The following is a 24,172-nucleotide window of genomic DNA, read 5'->3' as shown; positions in this document are numbered from 1 at the left end:
TCCATAGCAAAAGCAGGGCAGGGAAAAGGCTGCAGTGAGGGGAAGCCCACTGCGAGGCCCACCCTTAACAGGCTCTTTCTAGCTGTGTGACCTTGGGCAGGTCACTTTCCTTGTCTGGGATGCTGGGGGCAGCCTCGGGACAGGACCTGTAGTTATTTCCTGGGCCAGCGGCTCCTGCCTGGCTTCCACACTCACACACAGGCACCAAGGCAGAAGGGAGCAGAGGGCAGGCACGCGAGCCACGGCCACGCTTTATTGCTTAAGACGCACACAGAACACAGAGGAACAAACAAGGAGGAAAGGGCGCCACACACAGCCCAGACCAGGCAGGAGCGGCCCAGCCGCCGGAAGAGACGTTCCTTGCAAGGCAGGGCCCCTGCTGGACAGCACGCCCCCTGGGCGACAGGGTCAGGGACCCCAGGACTGCACAGCTGCAGACTTGCTGGGAACCTGGGACAGGTGACACGCCCACTCTCGCCTGTGGCCCAGGGCCTTCCACCTCTGCATCCAGCCATGCACCCACCATTTCCCCACAGGGTACAGGGGCAGCCTTCCTTGATCCACAGCCAACCCTTCTCCTGCTGTCTCTGGCTGTCAGTGAGACCCCTCTGGAAAGGGCAGAAGCAGGCAAGCCAGGCAGAAGGGGGCCCGGGGTCCCACTACCTGGGTAGGAATGAGCAGAGGGCGGGCAGAGCCCTTGCTCCTTGTGGGAGGTAGACAGGTCTCACTGCATACATGGGACAGATGTGTGCACCCACACACATATACATACACACACACACACACACACACACACACACACACACAGCCCTTTGAACCCAGCACTGGCCTGAGGAAGGTGGCCCCGGAGGAACCCTGAAGGCACATGTCCACCAGGCTATAATGCCCCTGCCACCCTGGGGCTCAGCTGGCCAGACTCCCAGGGGTGGGATGCTGCTGACCCAGGAGCCCACCAAGTCCCCAGGGCAGTACTGGGCAGGGCCCAGAAAACCCCACGCCCAGCCCACCAGCCTGCCACTCCTGGCCTCAGATGCCACTCCCGGCCTCAGATGCCACTCCCAGCCTCAGACGCAGATGGGCCCGAGAGGTGTTCCTGGGAAACAGTTCACTTAGCAAGACCCAGTACCTGCGCTCCAGAAGCTCAGCGCAGGCCCAGCCTGGGGTTGGCCCCAGATGGAATATCTTCCACACCCGCCCGCTTCTGCCAAACCCCACCTGGGCTAAGCCAGGCCCGACCAGGCACCTGCCCGATGGCTGAGAGCCAGCCTCACGGTCAGAGAGGCCAGCGGGCTGAGGCCACAGGGCAGAGGGAATATGGGGGTGCACATCCTGGGCACCAGCTCTCTGCATCCTCCCTGGGTAGGCCTGGCTCCGGACAGCCTGGCACCCAGGGCAGTGGGGACAGCTCTGTGTGGGGAGGTGACTGTGGCCTCTGCCCAGTTCTTAAAAGGCAGAAGCTCCCTGAGGGCAGGGCTTGGGCAGGCCAGCAGGAGCACCTGAGTGGGGCTGAGGTCAGACCCACTAACCCACTAATGGGGCTGGGCTGTGGCTGATGTTGACGGGGCCACACCAGGGAGAGGGTGGGCACCCTCGGTGCCAGGGAGAGCCTGCTCTCCCCACTTCCTTAGCACCAAGGCCAGCAGGGGCGGGGGGTGATGGGCAGAACCTAGGGGCCCCAGCAGGCCCAGGGAGGAGGGGCAGCCGAGGGGCCTTGAGGTGGCCTGTCCAAGGTTCCCAGGGCCAGCAGGGAGCATCCCCCACCCAGCTGTCCAGTCACTGCCAAGGCTGCAGTTCCAGGTACCGGGGTGCACCTTAGGAGCCCTGTGGGCTTCTTCAGAAGGCAGGGTGACAGTGGGCGCTGCACCCTAGGCAGCAGTGGGAGGTTGCTGGCAGCGGCAGGCTGTCCCAGGCCCTGGGGCTCCACCTGCTAAGAGAGCTGGGGGAGGTCCCTCTGCTCAGTGCCCAGGTGGCAGGGTCCCACTTGCCCCTCCCCTCAAGCCAGGACCAGCATCTCCAGGGGAAGCTGCTCCCAGGTCACAGCAGGTCACAGGCAGCCCTGTCTGTGGTGTGAGATCTGCAGACCCACCCAGCAGAGGAGTAGGGCTGGGTAGTGTCCACACAGCTGCTGCAGGCTCTGCCTCAAGTCCAGCAGCCCAGACCCTCACACCAGCAGCCAGTGGCTCCTGGCTTAAGCCAGTCTGGAGAAAGGAGCAGAGGACTCCAGGTGTAGGGACACGTGCAAAGGCCCCTCTCCAGGCTGTGCCTCAGCGTGGACAGTCCAGGCCTCACTTGGACCCACACAGAGCCAGAAGAGGGGACAGGGAGGGAGGGGCGCCCAGCCCTTCACAGCTCCCCCTCCAGGGTCTCCGCGAGCTTCTCCTCATCCGCCTGCTGCCTCTGCTGCTGGATCCTGGCATAGGAGATCGCATCGCCCCTGGGGAGAGAGAGAGGCAGCGTCACGTGGAGCACCAGCCCCATGCCCACAGCCCTCCTGACCACTGCCCGGTTCCTGCCCTGTGACCCAGGTGTGACCTGCAGGCATTCTGATTTCCCCAGAGACAACTGCTGGGGTGGCAAAGGCCTGTCTTGTCCCCTCTGAGAATGGCCCAGGCTCCCTGGGATGCTGGGCTGCGAAGGAACCAGCCTCAGTCTGGGCTCTGCAGGAGAGAGGGTGGCAACTGAGTACAATGCCCGGTGCAGACCTGGGAGGGGAAGGGGCTCCCACCAGCCATGTTTTTGCTATCCTTGCTGCAGGCCGTGACGGGGCAAGACTGGGCCACGCAGAAGTGTTGTAAGTCCTCTGTCTTCACCCACTCGAGCTGAGCCCTGGAGGCACCAATGAGTTACTGGGACCTCTGCCTCGGTCTCCACTAGCTAAAAGGGGCCACTCTCAGATCCTCCTCACTGAAGGACTTCGGGGGGCGGAGGGAGGAAGGCCCTGCCCAGGGGCTGGGCCTGGCAGACGCACTTTTTGCCCAGAGCAGAGAGTCCGTACAGCACCCCCGTAGCAAAGGCGATGGCGTTGCCCAGCAGCGTGGTCAGGGTCAGGCTGATGACGATGGGAACGACCGCCATCCTGGGGGGAAAGCAGAGGTCAAGGGGGCACTCCGGCCCCACAGCCACCACATCCTTCCCCGCTTCCCAGACTCGGCCCAGCATCCTTCCTAGACACCCAGGGCACAGGAAGGATCCCCAAAAATCAACTGAGACACAGCTTCAGAAAGTCCTTCATCAGCCCTGAACTTGTCTGTAAAACTGTTCCATTCTGGGAATAGGATCCAAAGCTTTCATCAGATTTTTGAAGGGGTCTGTGATCCCAAAAAGAGCTAAACAGTAACGAGATGGTCCAGTGCCCTCACTGTGAGAAAAACTGGCCAGAAAGAGCCTGTGACAGAGAATCTGGCTTCCCATCCAGGACCTACTAGCTTCGCGGGCAAGTTACTCGGAATCTCCACCGCGGAGAGGGGATCAAAGCTTGTCCGAGGTCAGTCATGTTACCTACACAATGCTGACCACCACAGGCACTAAATAAATGCTCTGAGTTATAGAGTAACACCAGCCACATCGCCACAAGTAAGGTCCCTGGAATTCAACCACATGGAACACAGGGTCTCATCATGGGAGGGCTGCAGGCTGCGGGGTCTGCGGGGTCGGCCCAGACCTTGCTGCAGTTTGGCGTCACCTGGTGGCAGGGTCCACTGGGGCTTAAGCGTCCCCGGGGCTGATTCTCCATCCTGGCTGGAATTTCCAGGCCAGCAGCAATTCCTGGGCTAACTGGGCCAGGAGGATACCTGCAGCCTGGAGGCCAGCGCTCTGTCCTGTCGCCTCCCTAGAGGAGGCTGCCTGTGCAGGAGGACAAGACTCGTGGCCAATTGCATTCTACCTCAGTTTCCATTCTTGTAGACATGTGGTTGTGAGATTTTTCTGTCGTTAAAAAATTTCAAAATGATAAAATAATAATAGAAATTACAAAGAAAAAGACCACGGCGGGGAACCTTCTGACAAAAACAAAATTAAAGGCAAACAAGAGCCTGGAAAAATAGTTGCAGGAAATACAACCAAGGATCATGAAATCTTTAATACAGAAAACACACTGAACTTGCTAAGCAGAACACTGAGGTTCCCACAGGTTAAAAAGTAAACTCGAAAATTTTCATATCAGAAAATGCAATGGAAACACGTGGGAAAATATTTTTCCCTCTTAGATAACAAATAGATAAATGCGAATGTGAAGTGGTGTGCAGCCCTGGGCTGGGGTGGGGGCGGGGGAGAGACTCAAGGGACCTCTTTGGAAAGCAACGTAGCCACGCATCTTAAAATATTTTTAATGATCAGAATCTTTGACCCAGTAATTCCACACCTGAAAATAGATATTAAGGAAATCATCATAAACACAGAAAAAGTTTTAGCAGACACATGTTTATCACACCTCGATTTACACCAGTTAAGAAATTAAGAACAGCATGATACATCCAGCTGAATGAATATTCCTGTATTGAAAGAATGTTATAAAGTCTGTGGTGATGTTCAAATGCTTATATCATTACTCTAAGTGAAAAAAGGCAGGATACAAACTTATTCATAATGGTTATAACTGTGTTAAAAGCAGGCTTTTAAAAAATGCCTGCAGACAGGAAGCACACACATCAGAAGATTAGCAGGCAGCGGGCTTCGAGTAACATTGTTCTATATTCCAAATTATTGTGAATGAATTTCTATGATGTCTAGCATTTTTAAAATACAGTTTTTTGAACCCCTAAGGACATGACACTGCGTGTAGATAAGAGCTTTGTGATCCTGTGTTCTTCGTGATTTAGATATGGCACAAGATGGCTCCAGAACTAAGCATGTGGCTTGTGCTCTTACCATCAAAACTACCGGGCCTCTCTGAAGGGGAAGCAAGCTTGCATCTAGACTTCTTTCTAAAGATAACCTAGACAATAATGAATACAGCTGCCACCAGCCTCCTATGCACTAGAGGCATTATTCTAGGAGTTTCCGTGTATTAAGCTTATCCTGAAATTAGTTCCTTCTTATGACTGAGAGGAGAAGTATTACATATTGATTTCATTGTTAGAAATGGGAAAATTTTTAACAAGTGTATTTAGAGGGCAACCACATTTTCTGCTCTGCAACCTGCTTCTCCCCCTTCACGTCAGGACATCTAGATGAACCCACTCTTCGGAAAGGCTGCAGAGAAACATGTCCTACAGACCTACTATCATCTGGTTAACAACTCCCAGTGGACGGACCAAAATTCCAGACGCTTCCCACTTTCTCTCCACTGCACGGATGCTGCCACACATGCTCATATACCTCTGAACCTTCCAGTGACTACGGCACAGCGACAGCTGAGTTCCTGGGCGCAGAACCACTGGGGCACGTTTTGGCAGCTATGAGCAAATCACTGTGCACAAAGGCAATCCCAGTTTACACTTCCACAGAGAGGAACTGAATACACTGCCCACCCTCACCTGACTTTTGGGTCCTATTTTGTCAGTGGGGTTTTGGGGAACTGTGTCACGGGACCCTGCCCAGCAACCCCTCACCCGCAGTAGAAGACAGCCTTCTGCCAGGAGCGCAGCCGGTCCACCTTCTCCGCCACTGTGTTTGCAAACTCGATGAACTGGCAGCAGAAGGGCGCCTCACACAGCAACAAGATGAAGGCATTCATGCTGCAGGGACCAGGGCAGGAGAAGAGCAGCGACTGACAATCCCAGGAGGATGAGGGCGGCCCCCAGTGCCAGTGCCATAAGGAATGCCACCTCCCTCACCCTCCTGCCCTCATCCCTCCTCCTCTGGGAAGCCGCCCGGCTGCTCCAGGGCACCTGCTCGTACCCCTCGGAGAGCCTCTGCTGAAGACTCCAGCACTCCCCAGCTGCTCCTGCACACCCATCTCCCCAGCTGAACTGAACACTCCTAGAGGGAAGCCCCTGGGCTTCTGCTTCCCTTTATCCTCCTCCTGTGTGACATGGAGGAAAGGGGACCCCACATCATGGCACTGCTACAACGCTGCGGCAGGTTCATCCACAGATGGAGCACTGGCAGCTGTGTCCTCTGTCTGCTGTTAGTATTATCGCCATGGCCACCAAAAGCCGTCAGTGGCACCAGCACCAGGAAGGCTGCCCCACCAGGGAGGCAGAGAGCTGGAGCCACGCAGTCCCAAAACAGTCACGGAGAGCTGCCCACACACCTGATGCCACCGGCCCCAGGCCCGGGGACACCCAGGGGAAGCCCACGCTGGGGAGGAAGAACTTTAGCAAGTCCTTGCATCCAGCCCTATGTTTGGGGTGGGAACAGCTAAGCCACTGGTGACGGAAGGTGTCTGCTGTGGTCTTGGTATTCTCTATGCATGGATAACAATCAGTTAGCAGACACTGAGCCAGGCCCTTCTGTCCCCAGGCCTGGGAGAAAAGTGCCATCATTATGCCTGTGTAACAGAAATGCAGGCTCAGGACACCTAAGAGCCACCCCAAGCCCGGGGCAGGCACTCTCTTCACAACTCTTAACCACTGCACCCGCCCCGAGCCTCCCACACACCAGGCCTCCAAGCACGGGCTCACTCTGTGCTGGGCCAGCCCTTCCACTTCAAACTCGGCCAGGCTCCGACTCCACCCCCTGAAGCTGGGCTGGGCGCCTCTCTGTCCATCCCCCTTCCCTATCCACCACTGGCCAGCACAAGCACTGAGGACCCCACCACAGCAGGCCCCCGAGGCTCTCCACTGGCCATAGGTCACTGGGGACGGGACCTGAATCTCGTCTAGCTCTGTACCCCTCAAGGCACCAAGCCCCATGAGGACACTCATCAATTCCTGGTGCACCGCCACTTCTCACGTGCCCCAAGCCACACGGGCCTGCCCTCACCCCGCCTTCCCTTCCGATGGGATGGCGAAACCCTGGCAGGAGGTGGGCATGGAACGCACATGAGGGTGTTCTGACCACGGGTTCCCGTGACAACTCCGACCCGCCTCTCCCATCTATCTTTGGCACAGCTCCGAGCTCGAGTGCCCTCTCCCAGCAGACCATTCAACCCAGTCCTCAGCCAGCCCCAATGAACAGCCTTCCCCACCCCAGTCCTGGGAGCTCCCAGAGGGCGAGGGCCCCAGTATAGTGGACTTGGCATCTGCAGTCTCAGTGGATGCTCCAGAAATGTCTGGAGCACTGATGGCCTTGCCCCTGCACCGGATGAAGGCCGGGGTGGGCATTCCCTGGGCCTTGACCTCTCATTAGGAAACTAAACATGGTGGGGGTATGAAGGGGAAGAAGCCGCATGCTGTGGCCAGAAACTCACATGCCCGAGGCACCCAGGCTGGAGCCAGTAGCCATGGCAACCACAAGGATGCCCACTCCCACGGCCCCTGCCACTCCTCTGTCCCGGGAGGTGCCCAGCAGATTCCCGACCAGCAAGACCCCCGGGGTGGGACGGCCATGCATTACTCACATCATCCACACGCCGGCCGCAATGTTCAGAGGGTGGATGGTGATGCAGTTGAAGAGGCCAGAGATCGCGCAAGCTTGAAACAAGAGACACGGGCAGGAGTCAGCAGGGAGGCAGGCGGAGCCCGCTGGGAAGGCGGCCTTGGGAGATGACTGGAAAGGACGAGAGTCTCTGCGGATGCTCAGCACACAGTTCTCACAGCACCCAGAAGCCTGCCCTCTATCGTCTGAGACAGGTGAGGAGACGCAGAGAGGTGCAGTGCCTTGCTTGCCCCAGGCCCCACAGCAAGGTGGCAGCAAGGTGGCAGGTGGATCTCACAGCATCCTCTCCCCGTTTCAGGGCTCAGAGGAGCTGGCCCTCTGACCCCAGCTACATCAATATCCACCTCAAAGGGAGGTTAGGATTAAAGAAGGATTAAAGAGTGAATGTCCCTCAAGGATTCAGGCCAGTGCTCCCCCAAGACTCAGCCTTCGGTAAGGGTCACTTGCCACCATTCACAGGGCCGGCCACACAAGAAGTCCTCTGACTCAGAAAATGTGGCTTGGATTTTGGTTGGGACAAGGGGTGCCTCTCTCAGAACAGAGATGGGAACCAGGTAAGACTGAGCAGCAGTTCCAGCTCTAACTTCCTCACCAGCCCTGTGCCACTGGCACGCTATCTTCATCTTCCTAGACCCGTTTCTCCTCTTGCACATGAGCAAGTCCCACAGCCCAGCCACCCACCGCTGAAATGCCATAAGGCCAGGAAGGGGAGGGGGCATCGTTTTCCACCCCAGAACGTGGCTTCTCTGATGCTCAGATGTGCAGCCTTGACGCCCCGCCTCCCAGCTGCACCTCACCAGCAGGGTCTCTTGCACCCAACTCCCTCCTCCACCCACAGCCTGCAGCCTGGCTTCACCAGGAACTCCAGGAGCCTTCAAGGCAGGTCCAAGGAGGTGGCTGCTGGGCAGGGAGCAAGCCCAGGCCATCACTGAGGGGGGCCTTGGAGGCAGCAATTAGCACCCAGCTCATTAAACTTGCAGCAGCTCCTCTGCACCTGATCCCTCCACCTGGGTCTGGAATTCTGCTGTTTTCCATTTTCCCAGGTAACCTTATGCAGACAGCAGGCAAAGAAGCCAGATAAAGTGAGCCGAACTGCAATGGGACTGCTTCATGGGCCCCCAGGGTCTCCTTCTAAAACAAAGGACTCAAGCGTTGCACTGCTCCTCAGCACAGCCTTAGACATCTGCCTTCAGACAGCAAGGTGTTCCAGAACCACAGGTACACAGGGGCCTGCCTGTCCTAGCAGAGTGCCCAAAGGGTGACACGGCTCCCTGCCTCTCTGCTGTGCCTGGCCTCACCTGACAGCTCGGCTGTGCTTCCTGCTGCAGTCAGCATTTGGCCTCCAGCTCCAACCCTACCCCAGCTGTCCAACCCACAGCCAGCCTTGGGGGAGGACCAGGTGTCAAGCCAGACCAGCAGGCTCCAGCCAGGAATCCTTTAGCAATAAAGGGCTGGAGGATGTCCACTTGGGGGCCTCAATGCTGATATCTTCCACGTGAGGGGGCTGTCACCATGCAATCCTGTCCCCTCCCAAGGTATCACCTCCAGATGCTCTTAGGACCCAGGGTAGACCCTCTCCAGGTACTCTCTCTGATCCCCTCACCCTGGAGGAGGAAAACCTTACCCAAGGACCAGCCCGGCACACAACCCTTGTCTGAACTCCTGCCGCATCTCTAAAACACCCTGCATTTTTGCATTCTACCCTGTAATACAGCATTTTGATGTTCACATAACCATGCCCCCAAAAATCTGCAGATGCAACTGACAACTCAGGGCAATGCCACAAGTTTCTCCTGAAGCTTCATCTGTAGACCCAACAGAGCCCCAGGAACTCCCAGGAAAGGCAGAGGTACCTCACTTTGAGAGGCACAGAACTGAGTAAGACTCCACAGCAAATCTGGGAGTCGGCAGGGCCACTGACCAAGAAGGAAGGAGGTGTGGCCTACAGGCCATAGTCAGGACCTTTCCTTTCTCACCACTGACCATGTCACCCCACTGCACTGCCCACCCTAATCTGCAGGGAAAACAGCTAACCAGACATGACAGGACTGGATCCAATGCCTAACTTCAAACCCACCAGTCTCTCCTACAAAGTCAAAAGCGTACTTGCCCTGAAGAGCAGTGACACAAACTCGGGGCCTTTTTGTGATTTGGGGGTAGGGCCTGCCCTACCGTATCCGTTGCCTCTGGATAAGGGCATGCCTAGCGAGGGCAGCACACTCCTAGCCCAGCACCCTCCTGCCTCAACCTCCCTCCACCCTCTACCCACCTGGAAAGGCTGTGGAACCCAAGGTGACCCTGAAAAGGTGGTCCTTCTGGCAGGATTGCTGATGGGGCCTGCCCTGCCCAGGCCCAGAGCTAGCCCTCTCTGCCAGGCAGGCACTGTTTAAAACCTGCAGACATCCTCGACAGACATTCTCTAAGACCTTGCCCACTCCAGTAATCCACAAGATTGAGGGCAGACAGGAAAGGAAAGGGTATCACTCAGACAGACTTGTCTTTCCCTGGAAGGCCAGCTGTACGGCTTCCATTCACTCCTGGAGCTGACCTGCCTCCCTCTTTGTCCTTTTCTGGCTGTGCTTAAGAGCCTAGCTTCCCTGGCAGCCTAAGGTCAGGGTCTGTGACTGGGATGCGTGCGGAGAAGGGGAGGAAGGCCGGTGACAGGCGGCTAAGGCAGCAGCAACGGGGGAGATATGAGAGCGGACAGAGGACCCAGGGAGAGGCCGGGCCCTCAGCTCACTGCCCCGCGGCCCCAGGGGCCACCTGTGCCCTGACACCACCTGACCCTCAGCAAACTTCCGCCCAGTGGCTTCCTGCCAGAAATCTAGCCAGCCGTGCACCCGCCTCCCTTACAAACAATCCTTGCCCAAAGGTTAGCAATGTGGCTGCCGTCACCTACGCCCAAGTCAACAGTTGACGCTTTAGTACGGGCCAGGTGGGCATGCGCCCCGTGAGCATCACCGAGAAAGTCTCACAAAAGCCCCTGGGGAGCGGGGGGAGGGCTCAGTCACGTGCCCCAGGCCGGTGCCCCACCCCCGCCCCCGCCGCCCCCCCGCCCTGGGGTTTCTGGTCCCTCCGGGAATGTTCCCAGAAGCGCCAGCCCAGCCCAGCCCGGGGTACCAAGGCGCCCAGGCCCGAGCGGGTAACCATGGCAACCCCAGGACGCCGGCTCCCGGCGGCCCCGCCATTCCTCCGCCCCGGGAGGCGCCCGGCAGACCCCCGACCCCCAGCGGGTCCTTTCCCCTGGGGCCGCCGGGGCGGGGCGGGGCAGGGCAGGGCGAGGAGCGCATGCGCGGCGGGGCCGGCCCCTCTCCCCGACTGGATACTCACAGACTGCCCCCAGCACCCCAGACAGGCGACACAGCCAGCGGTACCACCACGTCATGCCCTCTTCCTGCGCGGGCGGCGCAGAGCTGGCGGACGCCCCGGGCGCCCCACCTGAGCTGCTCATGGTGCCACCGTCAGGCGCAGCTCACAGCCCTCACAAAGGGCTCGGTAGCCGGCCGCGTCCGAGCCGGCGCGCTGCCTTGTGGGAGAGGGAGCATATTAGCATAGGGGGCGGGGCTTTCAGGCTGCGGCGAGGCGCGCCCGAAGGGAGGCGGGTGCTCATTAACATAGTGAGCGGGACCCTCATGCCGCGACTAGGGGCGTTTGAGGGGAGGTAGGTGCTCATTATTGTAGGGGGCGGGACCCGCAGGCTGCGGCGAGGAGCTGGGGGTGGGGAGCTCGTTAGCATACGGGGCGGGGCTCGCAGGCATCGGAGAGGTGTGCCCGAGGGGGGCGGGCGTCATTAGCGTAGGGGGCGGGGGCTCGCAGTTTGCGGCGACTTGCTCCCAAAGGAGGCGGGCGCTTATTAGCATAGGGGGCGGGGCCTGGAGGCGCGCAGACACCTTAGCGGTCAGAGCCTCACACCAGGACACACGGGTGGGGCTTCGCAGGGAGCTGGCTAATGCGCCATCCTCGGAGTGGAATCCTGATTGGATTTTCTTCCTGGATAGGAAGAAGATAACTAGGGACGTCCAGCGGCTTGCTCAGATCAAGATAGAGCCAACCGCGGCCAGCGAATCCCTGCCTTGCCATGGGATGGGTTTTCAAGCCAGGTCTGGACAGCTTATAAGAAAAAAACGCCGGTCAGCCTGCATGTTTTATTTATTGGTACCCGAGGAAATGGGGGCTGCTTTTCCAGAGTCCCCACCTCCAACCCCCTAGCCTTTTGGACATTGGAGAAGACTCTAAAGTAGATACCTAAGATTGGAAAAAGTTCGAATTGGAAAGCACTGAGACCAGGGGTCAACCCTCCAGGGCTGGCCAGACACGGAACAAATGTTCAATGACCCTCAGGTTCCTTCCTTTCCCTTCCAGGACTGAGGGTCCTGCATCTCCGGTACCCATGATTGGAGGGTCCAGTACTGGCCCCGCAGGCTGGCCTGAGCCTTCAGGAAGCCCTCGCTGAACTCCATCTCAGCCTGGCTGCTCTCTGACTCCCAGTAGAGCACCTGCTGCCCATGGAACGCTGTGGTCCTCAAGCTGTGGGTGTCCCGGATCTGAGAGAAAAGGGGCAGCCCAGAAGGACCGGCCACAAGTAATAATTAGCACTCACGGAAGCCTTCGTGTGCAAGGGCTCACAGATTCCGGATCACATTTAATGCTTACAAAGCCCTACTAGGAATACGCCATTACTCTACCCAGAAAACCGAGGTCCAGGGACGTTACATCACTTCCCCAAGGACACACAGTCAGGGTGCCAGAGCGGGGCCAGGCTGCCTCCTCTGGGGAAGCTGATACCCTGCAGAACACAGTTCTCCCAGGACACTTGAAACCTCGGGGAGGGTGCAGGGTGCTATTCTGTCCAAGTTATATCAGACTGTAAAATTATGCTTCAGTCTTGGGTTAGCTGTCAGTCTACATCAGAAAGGTCTTTACCATTCTTTACCATTTCGCTTTTTTTTTTTTTTTTTTTTTGAGACAGAGTCTCACTCTGTTGCCCAGGCTGGAGTGCAGTGGTGCGATCTGGGCTTAGTGCAACCTCCACCTCCCGGGTTCAAGTGATTCTTGTGCCTCAGCCTCCCAAGTAGCTGGGATTACAGGCACACGCCACCATGCCTGGCTACTTTTTCTATTTTTAGTAGAGACAAGGTTTCATCATGTTGGCCAGGCTGGTCTCGAACTCCTGACCTTGAGTGATCTGCCCTCCTGGGCCTCCCAAAGTGCTGGGATTACAGTTGTGAGCCACTATTTCACTCTTGTAGGTAGCTCAAAAAACATTTCTTGGTGAATATGTGGAGGAAGCTATCTTCTCCCATTCTTTCACTAATGATTTTGAGGGTTTTAGTCTGAAATAAACTGAAGGGGGTCCCCTAGCCCTGCACGCCCTAGGGAAAGCTGTCCAGAATCACAGCACAAGTCCCCATGCTGGGCCTCACCAAGATGTAGCTGGCATTGGCTCCCTCGGTCCCAGCGCCCATGTTGGTGGCCAGGGCATGGATGGCAATCCGTGCGTGCGGAGCCACATTAATGAAGAGCCGGCAGCCCCCTGCATTACTCGTGGCTGGACTCAGCGAGGGGCTCACGATTTCACCCCAGGGCCCAAAGAGCTGCATGTCACATTCTGCAGGTGGGACATAGGGACATAGGAACCCAGACAGACCGGTGGTGCCAGAGGCCAGGACAACTCACAGCCAGGGAGCCGTGCAGGGCAGCATGGCACTGTGGTCAATATTGGGGTTCCCAGGCAAATCCTGCTGAACCCCACCTCTACCACTTCCTGGCCCAGTGACTTTAGGCAAAGGCTAAATGTTCTGGGCTCTGGTTCCCTCCTCTGTAACTGAAGGAAACAATGGCATGCACTGAGCAGAGTGGTCTTTAGGACTCAATGATGTCACACGTGCAAGAGTGTTTAACACTGAAACTGGCAACAAAGATAGGCTCCACCCATGGCGGCCACTGCTGTTCCTCAGAGCTCACTGGAGCCCCCACCTGCCTGTACCTCCTGCACCTCTTTCAAGGCAGATGCCTGTGTGGGCGGGGCTGGGCCGGGAAGCGAGAAGCAATGTGAACGGTGACAGTGGGCTTGTGGCCTTTTGGCAGGGCCCAGCAGCGCCTGTGCACTGGGACACATACACGGCTCTCTGCCCGGGCAGGTCTGGGGCAAGGAGGCGGCGCACTAGGTCTCTGCAGAGGCTAAGCCCCTGTTGCCACTAAGCCCCAGACACCTGGGGGAGCCGAGGAACCTCTGGAACCAGCTAGGGAAGCCAACTTCGGCCAGCTCGGGCTGTTGGGAGAGGGCAAGCCCCCCAGGACAACCGAGAGGGCTATCAGAGGATATCGAGGGGGCCACGGGCAAGGCTGGAGTCCCTGAGGTGGCATCCTCTGCCTGAGGTGTGCTTGTGGGTGCACATGCATGTACAAGCATGTCTGCTTACACCAGTGCACTGAAACAGGGCTGAGGGACAGTGGCTTCCACAAAACCCTAAAAGCCCTTGAAAGGCTGGAGGGGTGGGGGCGGGGCAGGTGGGTGTGGGGCAGAGGCCTGAGGGACTGACTGAGGATGTGGACCATGTCCCACATCCGTCCATCTTGCTGCACGGTCCCAAAAAGGAGGGATATAGCATTCATCCTGTGACCCCTCCCTGGCACGTGCAGACTGACACTGGCCAACCCCAGTTCCTTCCATCTCAGTCAGTTCCCTCCGTATCTTCCCACTGCCCCACTGGGACTGGCCCCATCCCCAGCAGCACCCACCCAGCCTCCCTGCCAGGACTGGAGCACCCAAGGGAGGTGGAGAAGGCCTGGCCATACCTCTGTAGAAGGTTTCAGGAGCAAGCTGGCTCCCATACCGCAGCAGCACCCCACCTCCTGGCCGCCCGCAGCGCTGCCTCACCACCAGCGTGTTGGTCTTGGAGCTGAAAGTCATGTCCAACAGCTTCCTGCACATCTTCCTCCAGGTGAGCCGGCCCCAAAGCAGCAACATGTCCCCTAGGAAGCGGCAGGGCAGTGAGGGTCCAGCACTCCCACGCCTGGTCAGCAGAGGAGTGGCTCCAGGGTAGACTGAGCCGAGTTCAAGTCCCACCTCTCCCACTGCTGGCTATGTGACTCTAAGTAACTGGGCACATCACTTAATCTCTCCTAGCCTCAGTTTCCTCATCTGTAAAATGCAGATCATCACTCCCCAGTCATGAGATGGGATGCAAACTACAGGTGGGAATGCACATGGGCTCCTGCCAGGAATGGGGCATGCAGCGTCGTGCTGGCTCCTGGCAGGGCCCATAACTGGCAGCATCGCTTGCATGGCCCTAGACATACCCGCACTGCAGTTGAGAGAACTCTCAAGGACGCGGAGGGTCACCACCTCCCCGAGGGGCCGCCCAATGGCCACTGCACAGTCTGCCTGCCCTGGGCCTCGCATGTCAATGGTTCCTGTTGGCTCAAGGTGCTGCCTGCCACAGGCACCTGAAAAGGGAGCAGGAGACAGGTAAGCAGTGCTTCCCCGATTCCCAGCAGGGCAGGCTCCGGGGCTTCCAAGCTGAGGAAGGAGACCAGGAGGTAGGGGTGGACCCTGTCCTCCAAGGCCCAGCTGGAAGCCTTCTCAGGACAGGGAGGGGGGCTGCATAGGTCAGAGCATCACCCTCAGGGCACAGGGCTGCTACCAGATGATCCAGCAAGAGGGGGCACATGCAGAGCAGCCCAGAGGCTAGGGGGCTCACAAGCTGGGTTCCTACCTTCAAGTTACTTCCCCTTGATAGTAGTAAAAGGGAGGTTTTGCTTTGCCAGGGAGAAAGAGGGCCAGCCCTGATCCCGGCCTCCCAGGCACACAACCCAGGGACCAAGTGCTTGTGCCAGTCCTTCCCAGAGGAAGATGCCTTTGCCCACCCCTCCTGCAGCAGCTGCCTGACAGGAAGGAGGACAGGACATAACTGGACTGCACTGAGTTTTCCTGGGGCCCGGGCAGGAGCCGCCGAGGCTGGGGAGCCGGGGAGAAGAGCAGGCCCCGGGCCTGGGACCACTCCAGGGAGGCACCAGCAGGGGTGGCTGTGGTCCGTCCTGGAGCAGCGGCTTCTTCGTGGGGCACCAGGCTGGGCGTACCCTGTCCCACACAGGGCCCAGCCCAGCAGCCACGCACAGTCACCGGCTTGGGCAAGTGCTGGCAGAAATCAGCTGGCACAGGCGCCTGGGCCTGGGGTCCGAGGCAGGTGTCACGCCGGCGCTGGATGCCATCCCCACAGGAAACAGAGCACTGCCAAGAGAGGGGAGGAGGAGTCACAGCTGACCCTGCCAGAAGGTGACAAGGACAGTGGTAACCACAGGCCAGGAGTGATCCAATATAATCCTTGTACAAGCTGGGAGGCAGTTAAGTGTCTCCATTCCACAGATGAGAAAACTGAGGCTCAGAGAGGGCACCTTGCATGGGTCATATAGGTGGGAGGAGCCATAATTCAAGTCTGGGTCCCTGTCACCCTCACGGCCTCTCTGTCCCTCCAAGCCTTAGAGCAAGCAGGTCTGCGGGGCTGCGGCTCATCTCTGTCTGCTGTGCCCCTATGCCCCCTCCACACCATGAGCGAGCCCCTCCAGGGGGCAGCCTGAACCCCATTTACCCTTGTCTGTCCTGCCTTGCCAGGTGCGTGGCACAGCTGGCATTCCCTCATCTGTGTAGAGCTGAGTGGCCTGCCATTCATCTTCCAGCGTCCCCAAACCTAAGGGCCTCTTAAGTCCTAGCTGCCCGCAGGTCTCTAGGCCCTCTGTCTCTCTGCCTCTAGGTGCCCCCTCACCAACGGGCGCAGCTCTCTCCTTCCTTTCAGGGGACACGATGAGCCAATGCCTCCTAGACTCCCTCACACATGAGGAGCCACAGCTGATGCCCACCCCAGCCCCATAGGGATTCCGAGTGCCCGCTGTGCTCACCTCCATCCAGGTGCCAACATGCCAGCGGTAGGTGCAGTCGGCAATGAGACAGGGGACACTGGCCTCGGGCCGCACCAGCGCCGCACAGGCCGCCTCGTCCACCTCCACGTCCTGGCCTTGGTCGAGCTGCACACAGGCCACCGAGCGTCTAGCAGTGCCAAGGCCACAGCTGGCCGAACATGGGCCAAGGGACATGACTTTCCACCTGCAGGAAGAGAAGACCCCAGAGAGAGGCTAGGTCTCCCCAGAGACAGTACTGCCCCACGCAGGCCCCTCTCCACCCACGTGTACTCGGACAGTTGCCTAGACAGCTTCCGTGGCCAGGCAAGATGGAAAGTGCAGCCACTGAGCCCCTCCTGTCTGGGGCCAGGGCTCACGGCCACAGGAGAGCTACCAAAAGGCCCTAGGGGGAAGAGGCCCCTGTTTCCCTAATTGCACATCCCCCTCTAGTCGCCTTTATCACAGAACACCTGTCAGCACCCCAGGGGTTGCCTATGGACCCAAGTAACAGCAACAGGAAGCGAGCCCCTGGGTAACAGGAGACAGATCTCAACACCCCACGTTCTGCAAGGGAAGGCCGAGTTCCCTTCCCTTGGGCAAGGGAAGGCTGCCCATGTTGATCTGTAATCAATCAATAACTAATTATGGCCCGCATTCTTCAGAGCCCAGACACAAACCCAGGCAGCCTGCAAGGGAGCTGGGATCTTCATCGCAATACTGTGCTCCCCCATGACCCTGCAGCGCTGCCTCTTGGACCCGTGCCTTCCGCGGCTTGGCACTGTTCTACATGACACTGGGAGGTGGCAGTGAACCAAACCAGACCCCACCTCCTCTCAGAGCGTGGATTGTTCTCCATTGGGGCATCACTGGCATGAGCAACTGGATGCTGATTTGCTGTGGAGGCTGTCGTGTGCATCGCAGAAATTTTATTTTTTATTTTATTTTAATGGTTTTCTTTGAGACACGGTCTCGCCCTGTCACCCAGGCTGGAGGGCAGTGGTGTGATCACGGCTCACTGCAGCCTCAACCTCCAGGGTTCAAGCCATCCTCTCACCTCAGCCTCCCAAGTAGCTGAGACTACAGGCATGTGCCATCATGCCTGGCTAATTTTTGTAATTTTTGTTTGTTTGTTTTTGTTTTTGAGATGGAGTCTCACTCATCGCCCAGGCTGGAGTGCAGTGGCACAATCTCAGCTCACTGCAACCACCCAGGCTGGAGTGCAGTAGCACAATCTCAGCTCACTGCAAGCTCCGCCTCCTGGGTTCACGTCATTCTCCTGCCTCAGCCTCCCAAGTAGCTGGGACTACAGGCACCCACCACTACACCCAGCTAATTTTTTGTATTTTTAGTAGAGACAGGGTTTCACCGTGTTAGCCAGGATGGTCTCGATCTCCTGACCTCGTGATCTGCCCGCCTTCGCCTCCCAAAGTGCTGGGATTACAGGCATAAGCCACCGCGCACAGCCAATTTTTGTATTTTTTGTAGAGACGGGGTCTCACTATGTTGCCCAGGCTGGTCTAGAACTCCTGGGCTCAAGCAATCCTCCCGCCTCAGCCTCCCAAAGTGCCAAGCAGAGCGTCACAGGAGGGACGAGAGTGCCGTTCTGGACCGACGCTCAGGGAGGGCACTGGGCCACTTTGGAGTTGTGGTGTCTGAGCCGAGCCTGGGGGAGGGATATCCAGGGCCTCGAGGATATCCACAGAAGACATCAGGCAGCGAGAGCTAGCACAGAAGCCCTAAGTCAGGGGAGTATCCCTGGAATGTTCCAGGACAATGAGGCCAGCGTGGCTACAGCAACGTCAGAGGGATGGCCAGAGCTCATGTAGTGTGTGCCTGCATCCCAGCTACTCGGGAGGCTGAAGCAGGAGGATCACTTGAGCCCAGGAATTCAAGTCCAGACTGGGCAACATAGTGAGACCCCATCTCTAAAAAAAAGTGAGGGGAGGCTCAGTGGCCCAAGAGGTGGTCTGTAGAGAACAGGGCTACCTGGTAGGCTGTGCTAGGTGTGGGAGGTGAAGTTTAAGCACCATGCAGGCAGCGTGCAGTGTGAAAAACCCTGCAATTCCCATAAAATCCCAGATCATCTCTAAATGTGATGTGGAAAAATAAATGGGACACACAGCCAAGGGACTTTAGCATAGGCAAAGAAATCAGGACACACTAGTGACACAGATGTTAAATGGTTATAAAGCTACAACATTTAAAACAATTTTGTATGGGCAAGAGAATAGCTAGAAAAAAAAAGCACAAAAAACAGAACCTGGCAGATCACTTGAGGTCAGGAGTTCAAGACCAGCCTGGCCAACATAGTGAAACCCTGTCTCTATTAAAAACACAAAATCAGTTGGGGGTGGTGGCGGGCACCTGTAATCCCAGCTACTCGGGAAGCTGAGGCATGAAAATCACTTGAACCCAGGAGGCGGAGGTTGCAGTGAGCTGAGATCGCGCCACTGCACCCCACCCTGGGTGACAGAGAAAAACTGTCTCAAAAAAAAAAAAGGAGAAGAAAAAAACCCAGTAGAAAGCCCAGACATAGATTCTAACACACACCAATACCACCAAGGAGCCACCTGGAGGCATCAGGGCTTGTCCAACAGATGCTAGTTAACAATTTAGAAAAAAAAAAAAATCCTTTGGTCCCTACTTTGCAACATACTCCAAATAAATCACAGATTAGTACAGGGTTTAAATTTAAGTAAAATCTTTTTTTTTTTTTTTTTTTTTTGAGACAGGGTCTCATGCTGTTGCCCAGGCTGGCATGCAGTGGTGGTGTGATCTCTGCTCACTGCAGCCTTGACTTCCCAAGGTTCAGGTGATTCTCCTGCCTCAGCCTCCCGAGTAGCTGGGGATACTGGCATGCACCACCATGCCCGGCTAATTTTTGTATTTATAGTAGAGACAAGGTTTTGGCATGTTGTCCAGGCTGGTCTCAAACTCCTGGGCTCAAATGATCCACCCATCTCAGCCTCCTGAAGTGCTGAGATTACAGGCGTGAGCCATGACCAGCCTAAATTTAAGTGAAATCTTATCTGTAACTGGATTTATTTAAAACTAAGGAGGCTGGCCAGGTGTGATGGCTCACATCTGTAATCCCAGCACTTTGGAATGCTGAGGTAGGCAGATCTCCTGAGGTCAGGAGTTCAAGATCGGCCTGACCAATATGGTGAAACCCTGTCTCTACTAAAAATACAAAAGTTAGCTGGGTGTGGTTGTGGGTGCCTGTATTCCCAGCTACTTGGGAGGCTGAGACAGGAGAATGGCTTGAACCCGGGAGGCGGAGGTTGCAGTGAGCCAAGATTGCATCACTGCCTGGGCAACAAAGCGAGACTCCGTCTCAAAATAAATAAATTAAATAAATAAAAGTAAGTGGACAGGAAGGAAACATGGCAGTAGGATGCTATCTATTAAACTGGAGTGCTGGAACATACATGTCTGTTACATTCTTTTCTGGACGTTTCTGTATGATATAGAAAAGTATTTCTTTACTAAAAATGCAAACCTACAAAAAGAAACCATTAAAGAATTGTAAATGAGGTAGGCAAATGTTCGCCCTTTACCACTGGGCTCCGGACCCCACGGACTTGAACATGATTCTGTCCCGTGTCCTAGTGTGGCTGTGTGTGTCCCTGTGGAGACCTCCATCCCTCCCGTCTTCCACATCAGAATGCTGGTGCTCACAGCTTTAGGTTCTGCTCAAATGCTGCCTCCTCTGTCCCCCAGGCCTCCCCACACTGCACCCTGCCTGCATGGTGCTTAAACTTCACCTCCCACAACTAGCACAGCCTGCCAGGTAGCCCTATTCCTTACAGACTGGCTCTTGGGCCACTGAGCCCCCCACCCCGTCTTGTTTTGTTTTGTTGTTTTGTTTTTGAGACGGAGTCTCGCTCTGTAGCCCAGGCTGGAGTGCCAGCGGCGCCATCTCGGCTCACTGCAACCTCCGCCTCCCGGGTTCAAGCGATTCTCCTGCCTCCGCCTCTGAAGTAGCTGGGATGACAGGTGCACACCACCACGCCAGGCTAATTTTTGTGGGTTTTCTTTTTTTTTTTTTTTTTTTGAGATGGAGTTTTGCTGCTGTTAGCCAGGCTGGAGTCCAGTGGCGTAATCTTGGCTCACCACAACCTTGGCCTCCCCGGTTCAAGCGATTCTGCCTCAGCCTCCCAAGTAACTGGGATTACAGGCATGTACCACCACACCCGGCTAATTTTGTATTTTTAGTAGAGACAGGGTTTCTGTATGTTGGACAGGCTGGTCTCGAACTCCCAACCTCAGGTGATCTGCCCGCCTCAGCCTCCCAAAGTGCTGGGATTACAGGAGTGAGCCACCGCGCCCAGCCTAATTGTTGTATTTTTAGTAAAGATGGGGTTTCACCATGTTGGCCAGGCTGGTCTCAAGCTCCTGACCTCAGGTAATCCACCCGCTTCAGCCTTCCATAGCGCTGGGATTACAGGCGTGAGCCACCACACCTGGCCCCGTCTTGTTTTTTTTTTAGAGATGAGGTCTCACTGTGTTGCCCAGGTTGGACTTGCACTCCTGGACTCAAGTGGTTCTCCTGATTCAGCTTTCCAAGTAGCTGCGATTACAGGCACACACCACAGCGCCTGGCCTGGCATCTGCACACACCAGGAGCTGCCCCTCCCATCACCGGCTGACTCACCTAGGTGGGCAGGGCTCCAGGCTGCAGGCCTCCTGGGGTTCCGGGCGAGGCAGCCCCTGGCACTGGGTGTCCAACAGGATCTCCTCACCATCGTCCTCCCCATGGGCCCGGGCACAATACAGGATCCTCCGCACGACCCCTCTCCCACAGCTCACGCTGCAGGCCGCCAGCTTGTACTGCCACCTGGAGCAAACTGGAGTCAGGGACCCCAAACAGCCCCAGGGCCTGGGAACCCAGGGGAGCCAGGTCTCCCCTTCATTTCCCCAGACTAGGAAGAGACAGGAAGCTGGGAAGGGCCCGGAGAGGTTCTCTTTCTGGAGGCCCCCTTGTGTCCTCACCAAGAGGCTTGGCAGAGTGGACAGAACATTTGGACAAACCCATTTTACAGAAGAGAAAGGTGAGGGCAAACGACAGATGTCGTATCCCAGAGACAGTGGGGGCAGGGGTCCGGGCACCCAAGGGCCCTGCATGTCTGTCTTCAACAGTGATCCCAGCACCACCGCCCTGGAGCCCACCCCGCCAGCCCTCCCCTCCTCCCCTCCCGCTGTGTTTGGCTGCATCGCACTGAACACCATCCATCAAACTGCATTCCCCGCCTGTCCTATTATTATCTGTCCCCCTTTCCCCCTGCATTTGCTCCAGGAGGTCAGGGACATTTGTCTGCCTTGTTCTCTGCTGTGTCCCCTAGCTCCAGGACGGCCCCGGGGCCTAGGTGCTCCATAAAGAGCAGGCGATGAAGAAACGCACCAGCAACCATGTGCACCCACAGCATCCCAGATCCTGTGCAATGTACTTTACACGCGTTGCATCGAGCATGCATTTTACACTCATTGCATTTAGCATGTACTTTACATGCATCTAATCCTTTCATTAAACTCCCCCAGTCTTCTGGGGGCACAAAATGACCTGCTCCCACTGGTGAGGACACTGAGGGTCAAAAGGTCTGGCTTGGAGGTGAGGAAAGAGCCAGGATGCAGACCTAGCACCCCCTGTCTCCTTGGGAAGGGGCCCACCTGGCAGGGCAGGGCTCTGGGTTGCAGTCCTCAAAGGGGCTGGGCCGGGGCTCTGGCCTGCACTTGGAGTGAGGCAGGGGGATGGGGCGGCCATGGTCCAGCCTCACACAGTGCACAGCCAGCAGCACCTGCCCCCCTCCGCAGGTCACCGGGCATGGAGCCAAGGCTCGGGTCTCCCACTTACAGGGAGAAGGCCAGCACACAGTCTTGCTCCCCTCACTCACCGAGCAGGGCACGGGACAGCCTGGCAGACCTCCCGCCGGCTCCCAGGCTTGCTTGCCAGGCCACACAGCTCTTCCTGGACAGGCACCCTGAGGGCAGAGTCCATGCACAGGAAACGCAGCTCCATCAGACCTGCGTGGACAAAGCAGAGACCCAGAGCCCCAAGGGACAGGCTCAGCAAGGACTGCAGCCCAGGCTCACTGGACACCTCTAGCACATAAGGCCCGCATGGGTTTCAATCCCGGCTCTGCCACTTACCAGCTGTGTGACCTCAGACAACTGACTTAACCCTCTGAATCTTAGATTTAGAAAAAAAGATAATGGCATCTACCTTGCAGAATCATTTATAAAGATTTTTAAAAGGGAAGATAACAAGTGCCTGGCACACAGTAGACACTTGACAAATGGTAGCTGTTATTGTTGACCGAGAGGCATTATAAGAATTGCAATATGGGCCAGGCACAGTGGCTCACGCCTGTAATCACAGCACTTTGGGCGGCGGATCACAAGGTCAGGAGTTCGAGACGAGCCTGACCAACATGGTGAAACCCCGTCTCTACTAAAAATACAAAAATTAGCTGAGCGTGGTGGTGCGCACCTGTAATCCCAGCTACTCAGGAGGCTGAGACGGAGAATCACTTGAACCCAGGAGGCAGAGGTTGCAGTGAGCCAAGACTGCGCCACTGGACTCCAGCCTGGGTGACAGAGCGAGACTCCATCTCAAAAAAAAAAAAAAGAAAAAAAAATCACAATATGAAAATCTCTGATTGTGTCTATCATAAAGATGTTATTAGGGCCAGTTTTCTCAAGTCTCTCTTTTAGGAATATCCTCAAAAGAAATAGGCTCAGTGGCTCATGCCTGTAATCCCAGCACTTTGGGAGGCCAAGGCGGGTGGATCACCTGAGGTCAGGAGTTTGAGACCAGCGTGGCCATCATGGCGAAACCCCCTCTCTAATAAAATAAAATACAAAAAATTAGCCAGGTGTGGTGGCACATAGCTGGAGTCCCAGCTGCTCAGGAGGCTGAGGCATGAGAATCGTTTGAACATGGGAGGCGGAGGTTGCAGTGAGCCAAGATCACACCACTGCACTTCAGCCTGGGCGACAGAGGAAAACTCTTAGTCTCAAAAAAAAGAAAAAAAAGAAAAAGAAAAAAAATCTCTTGGTTGGGCACAGTGGCTCATGCCTATAATCCCAGCACTTTGAGAGGCCGAGGCAGAAGGATCGCTTGAGCTCAGGAGATCAGGCTGGGCAACATAGGGAGATCCCATCTCTGCCAAAACTACAAAAATTAGCAGGGTATAGTAGCTATTCAGGAGGCTGAGGGGGGAGGATGGCTTCAGCCCAGGTGGTGGAGGTTGTAGTGAGCTAAGATTGTGCCACTACACTCCAACCTGGTGACAGAGGTTTTCTTTTTTGTCTCAAAAAAGAAAAGAGAGAAAAAGAAATCTCTTTTTGGTCTCGGTTTTAAACAGGCTGACATTTTACTGAGCAAGTGGTCAGGGTTTTCGTTTAAGAACATGGTGTGTCTTCTCAAGCCCATTAGGATGGCCATTATAAAAAAAACACAGAAATAGGCCAGGTGTGGGGGCTCACGCCTGTAATCCCAGCACGTTGGGAGGCCAAGGCAGGCAGATCACCTGAGGTCAAGAGTTTGGGACCAGCCTGGCCAACATGGTGAAACCCCATCTCTACTAAACAAAAAATTAGCCAGGCATGGTGGCAGACGCCTATAGTCCTAGCTACTCGGGAGGCTGAAGCACGAGAATCACTTGAGCCCCGGAGGCGAAGGTTACAATGAGCCAAGATCATGCCACTGCACTCCAGCCTCGGCAACAGAATGAGACTCTGTCTCAAAAACAAAAACAAAAACAAAAAAAACCATAGAAATAAAAAGTGTTGGCAA

At 56.4% G+C, this 24,172-nt stretch overlaps 2 protein-coding genes and 1 long non-coding RNA gene across 20 annotated transcripts in view, besides 12 other annotated features; 1 reads left to right on the top strand and 2 right to left on the bottom strand.

Moving 5' to 3' along the window:
• Window positions 1-148: 148 nt before the first annotated feature.
• On the bottom strand, window positions 149-11,019 carry CACFD1 (calcium channel flower domain containing 1). Of its 8 annotated transcripts, none has more exons than NM_001242369.2 (6): window positions 10,810-11,019; window positions 7,442-7,514; window positions 5,550-5,675; window positions 2,969-3,076; window positions 2,533-2,657; window positions 149-2,434 (listed from the first exon to the last, which is right to left on the bottom strand). In NM_001242369.2, the coding sequence occupies exons 1-6, from the start codon at window positions 10,928-10,930 to the stop codon at window positions 2,286-2,288; spliced, it is 702 nt and encodes a 233-aa protein (NP_001229298.1). In that variant the 5' UTR covers window positions 10,931-11,019; the 3' UTR covers window positions 149-2,285. The 8 variants fall into 8 exon arrangements, with proteins under 8 accessions (NP_001229298.1, XP_011516483.1, XP_024303166.1 ...); XM_011518181.3 differs by lacking the exon at window positions 10,810-11,019 and adding an exon at window positions 8,778-10,556; XM_024447398.2 differs by lacking the exon at window positions 10,810-11,019 and adding an exon at window positions 9,749-10,556.
• Window positions 1,403-1,522: a silencer, noted in NCBI's record as "silent region_20462". NCBI's record gives its function as "represses an Ori minimal core promoter by ATAC-STARR-seq in GM12878 lymphoblastoid cells {active_cell/tissue: GM12878}" and the evidence as "EXISTENCE:reporter gene assay evidence [ECO:0000049][PMID:35858748]".
• Window positions 1,983-2,032: an enhancer, noted in NCBI's record as "active region_29245". NCBI's record gives its function as "activates an Ori minimal core promoter by ATAC-STARR-seq in GM12878 lymphoblastoid cells {active_cell/tissue: GM12878}" and the evidence as "EXISTENCE:reporter gene assay evidence [ECO:0000049][PMID:35858748]".
• Window positions 2,103-2,152: an enhancer, noted in NCBI's record as "active region_29244". NCBI's record gives its function as "activates an Ori minimal core promoter by ATAC-STARR-seq in GM12878 lymphoblastoid cells {active_cell/tissue: GM12878}" and the evidence as "EXISTENCE:reporter gene assay evidence [ECO:0000049][PMID:35858748]".
• Window positions 2,233-2,392: an enhancer, noted in NCBI's record as "active region_29243". NCBI's record gives its function as "activates an Ori minimal core promoter by ATAC-STARR-seq in GM12878 lymphoblastoid cells {active_cell/tissue: GM12878}" and the evidence as "EXISTENCE:reporter gene assay evidence [ECO:0000049][PMID:35858748]".
• Window positions 2,430-4,760, top strand: LOC124902295 (uncharacterized). The gene is made up of 2 exons (XR_007061831.1): window positions 2,430-2,525; window positions 2,755-4,760. It is a non-coding gene; the product is annotated as an uncharacterized LOC124902295 (long non-coding RNA).
• Window positions 7,768-7,827: an enhancer, noted in NCBI's record as "active region_29242". NCBI's record gives its function as "activates an Ori minimal core promoter by ATAC-STARR-seq in GM12878 lymphoblastoid cells {active_cell/tissue: GM12878}" and the evidence as "EXISTENCE:reporter gene assay evidence [ECO:0000049][PMID:35858748]".
• Window positions 8,005-8,561: an enhancer, noted in NCBI's record as "H3K4me1 hESC enhancer chr9:136327558-136328114 (GRCh37/hg19 assembly coordinates)". NCBI's record gives its function as "activates a minimal SCP1, AML or CMV promoter by ChIP-STARR-seq in naive H9 embryonic stem cells {active_cell/tissue: H9 hESC(naive)}" and the evidence as "EXISTENCE:reporter gene assay evidence [ECO:0000049][PMID:30033119]".
• Window positions 10,504-10,803: a silencer, noted in NCBI's record as "silent region_20461". NCBI's record gives its function as "represses an Ori minimal core promoter by ATAC-STARR-seq in GM12878 lymphoblastoid cells {active_cell/tissue: GM12878}" and the evidence as "EXISTENCE:reporter gene assay evidence [ECO:0000049][PMID:35858748]".
• Window positions 11,094-11,193: a silencer, noted in NCBI's record as "silent region_20460". NCBI's record gives its function as "represses an Ori minimal core promoter by ATAC-STARR-seq in GM12878 lymphoblastoid cells {active_cell/tissue: GM12878}" and the evidence as "EXISTENCE:reporter gene assay evidence [ECO:0000049][PMID:35858748]".
• Window positions 11,204-11,423: a silencer, noted in NCBI's record as "silent region_20459". NCBI's record gives its function as "represses an Ori minimal core promoter by ATAC-STARR-seq in GM12878 lymphoblastoid cells {active_cell/tissue: GM12878}" and the evidence as "EXISTENCE:reporter gene assay evidence [ECO:0000049][PMID:35858748]".
• Window positions 11,611-24,172, bottom strand: part of ADAMTS13 (ADAM metallopeptidase with thrombospondin type 1 motif 13) — a 45,050-nt gene continuing 32,488 nt past the window's right edge. For 7 of the 11 annotated variants that reach the window (XM_017014233.2, XM_017014232.2, NM_139025.5 and 4 more), the window contains 8 exons: window positions 22,269-22,398; window positions 21,032-21,214; window positions 16,378-16,582; window positions 15,394-15,712; window positions 14,782-14,928; window positions 14,278-14,454; window positions 12,903-13,087; window positions 11,611-12,023 (listed from right to left, as the gene is read on the bottom strand). In XM_017014233.2, coding sequence (XP_016869722.1) covers window positions 11,817-12,023; window positions 12,903-13,087; window positions 14,278-14,454; window positions 14,782-14,928; window positions 15,394-15,712; window positions 16,378-16,582; window positions 21,032-21,214; window positions 22,269-22,398 — 1,553 coding nt within the window. In that variant the 3' untranslated portion in view covers window positions 11,611-11,816. The remainder of the gene's footprint in view (window positions 12,024-12,902; window positions 13,088-14,277; window positions 14,455-14,781; window positions 14,929-15,393; window positions 15,713-16,377; window positions 16,583-21,031; window positions 21,215-22,268; window positions 22,399-24,172) is intronic. The other 4 variants (NM_139027.6, XM_047422699.1, NM_139026.6 and 1 more) reach the window with 2 other exon arrangements.
• Window positions 13,074-13,941: an enhancer, noted in NCBI's record as "H3K4me1 hESC enhancer chr9:136322178-136323045 (GRCh37/hg19 assembly coordinates)". NCBI's record gives its function as "activates a minimal SCP1, AML or CMV promoter by ChIP-STARR-seq in naive and primed H9 embryonic stem cells {active_cell/tissue: H9 hESC(naive and primed)}" and the evidence as "EXISTENCE:reporter gene assay evidence [ECO:0000049][PMID:30033119]".
• Window positions 13,256-13,550: an enhancer, noted in NCBI's record as "tiled region #9315; HepG2 Activating non-DNase unmatched - State 10:DNaseD". NCBI's record gives its function as "activates a minimal TATA promoter and a strong SV40 promoter by Sharpr-MPRA in HepG2 cells {active_cell/tissue: HepG2}" and the evidence as "EXISTENCE:reporter gene assay evidence [ECO:0000049][PMID:27701403]".
• Window positions 14,392-14,544: a silencer, noted in NCBI's record as "fragment chr9:136321575-136321727 (GRCh37/hg19 assembly coordinates)". NCBI's record gives its function as "represses an EF-1alpha promoter that drives an FKBP-Casp9 reporter gene in an ReSE screen in HepG2 liver carcinoma cells {active_cell/tissue: HepG2}" and the evidence as "EXISTENCE:reporter gene assay evidence [ECO:0000049][PMID:32094911]".

The sequence above is a fragment of the Homo sapiens genome, chromosome 9, assembly GCF_000001405.40.
Source record: "Homo sapiens chromosome 9, GRCh38.p14 Primary Assembly".
Lineage (NCBI taxonomy): Eukaryota > Metazoa > Chordata > Mammalia > Primates > Hominidae > Homo > Homo sapiens.
The sequence above is the reverse complement of the archived record's forward strand: the minus strand, read 5'-3'. Positions and strand labels throughout refer to the sequence as shown.

Bases quoted from the DNA above. Each gene is read 5' to 3' on its own strand.
- CACFD1 (NM_001242369.2), bottom strand. From the start codon at position 10,930: ATGAGCAGCTCAGGTGGGGCGCCCGGGGCGTCCGCCAGCTCTGCGCCG. The intron at 3,077-5,549 runs GTGAGGGGTTGC...CTTTCCCCCCAG, and splicing joins AAGGCTGTCTTCTACTGCGG to GATGGCGGTCGTTCCCATCG. The intron at 2,658-2,968 runs GTGCGTCTGCCA...TCTCTCCTGCAG, and splicing joins CTCTCTGCTCTGGGCAAAAA to AGCCCAGACTGAGGCTGGTT.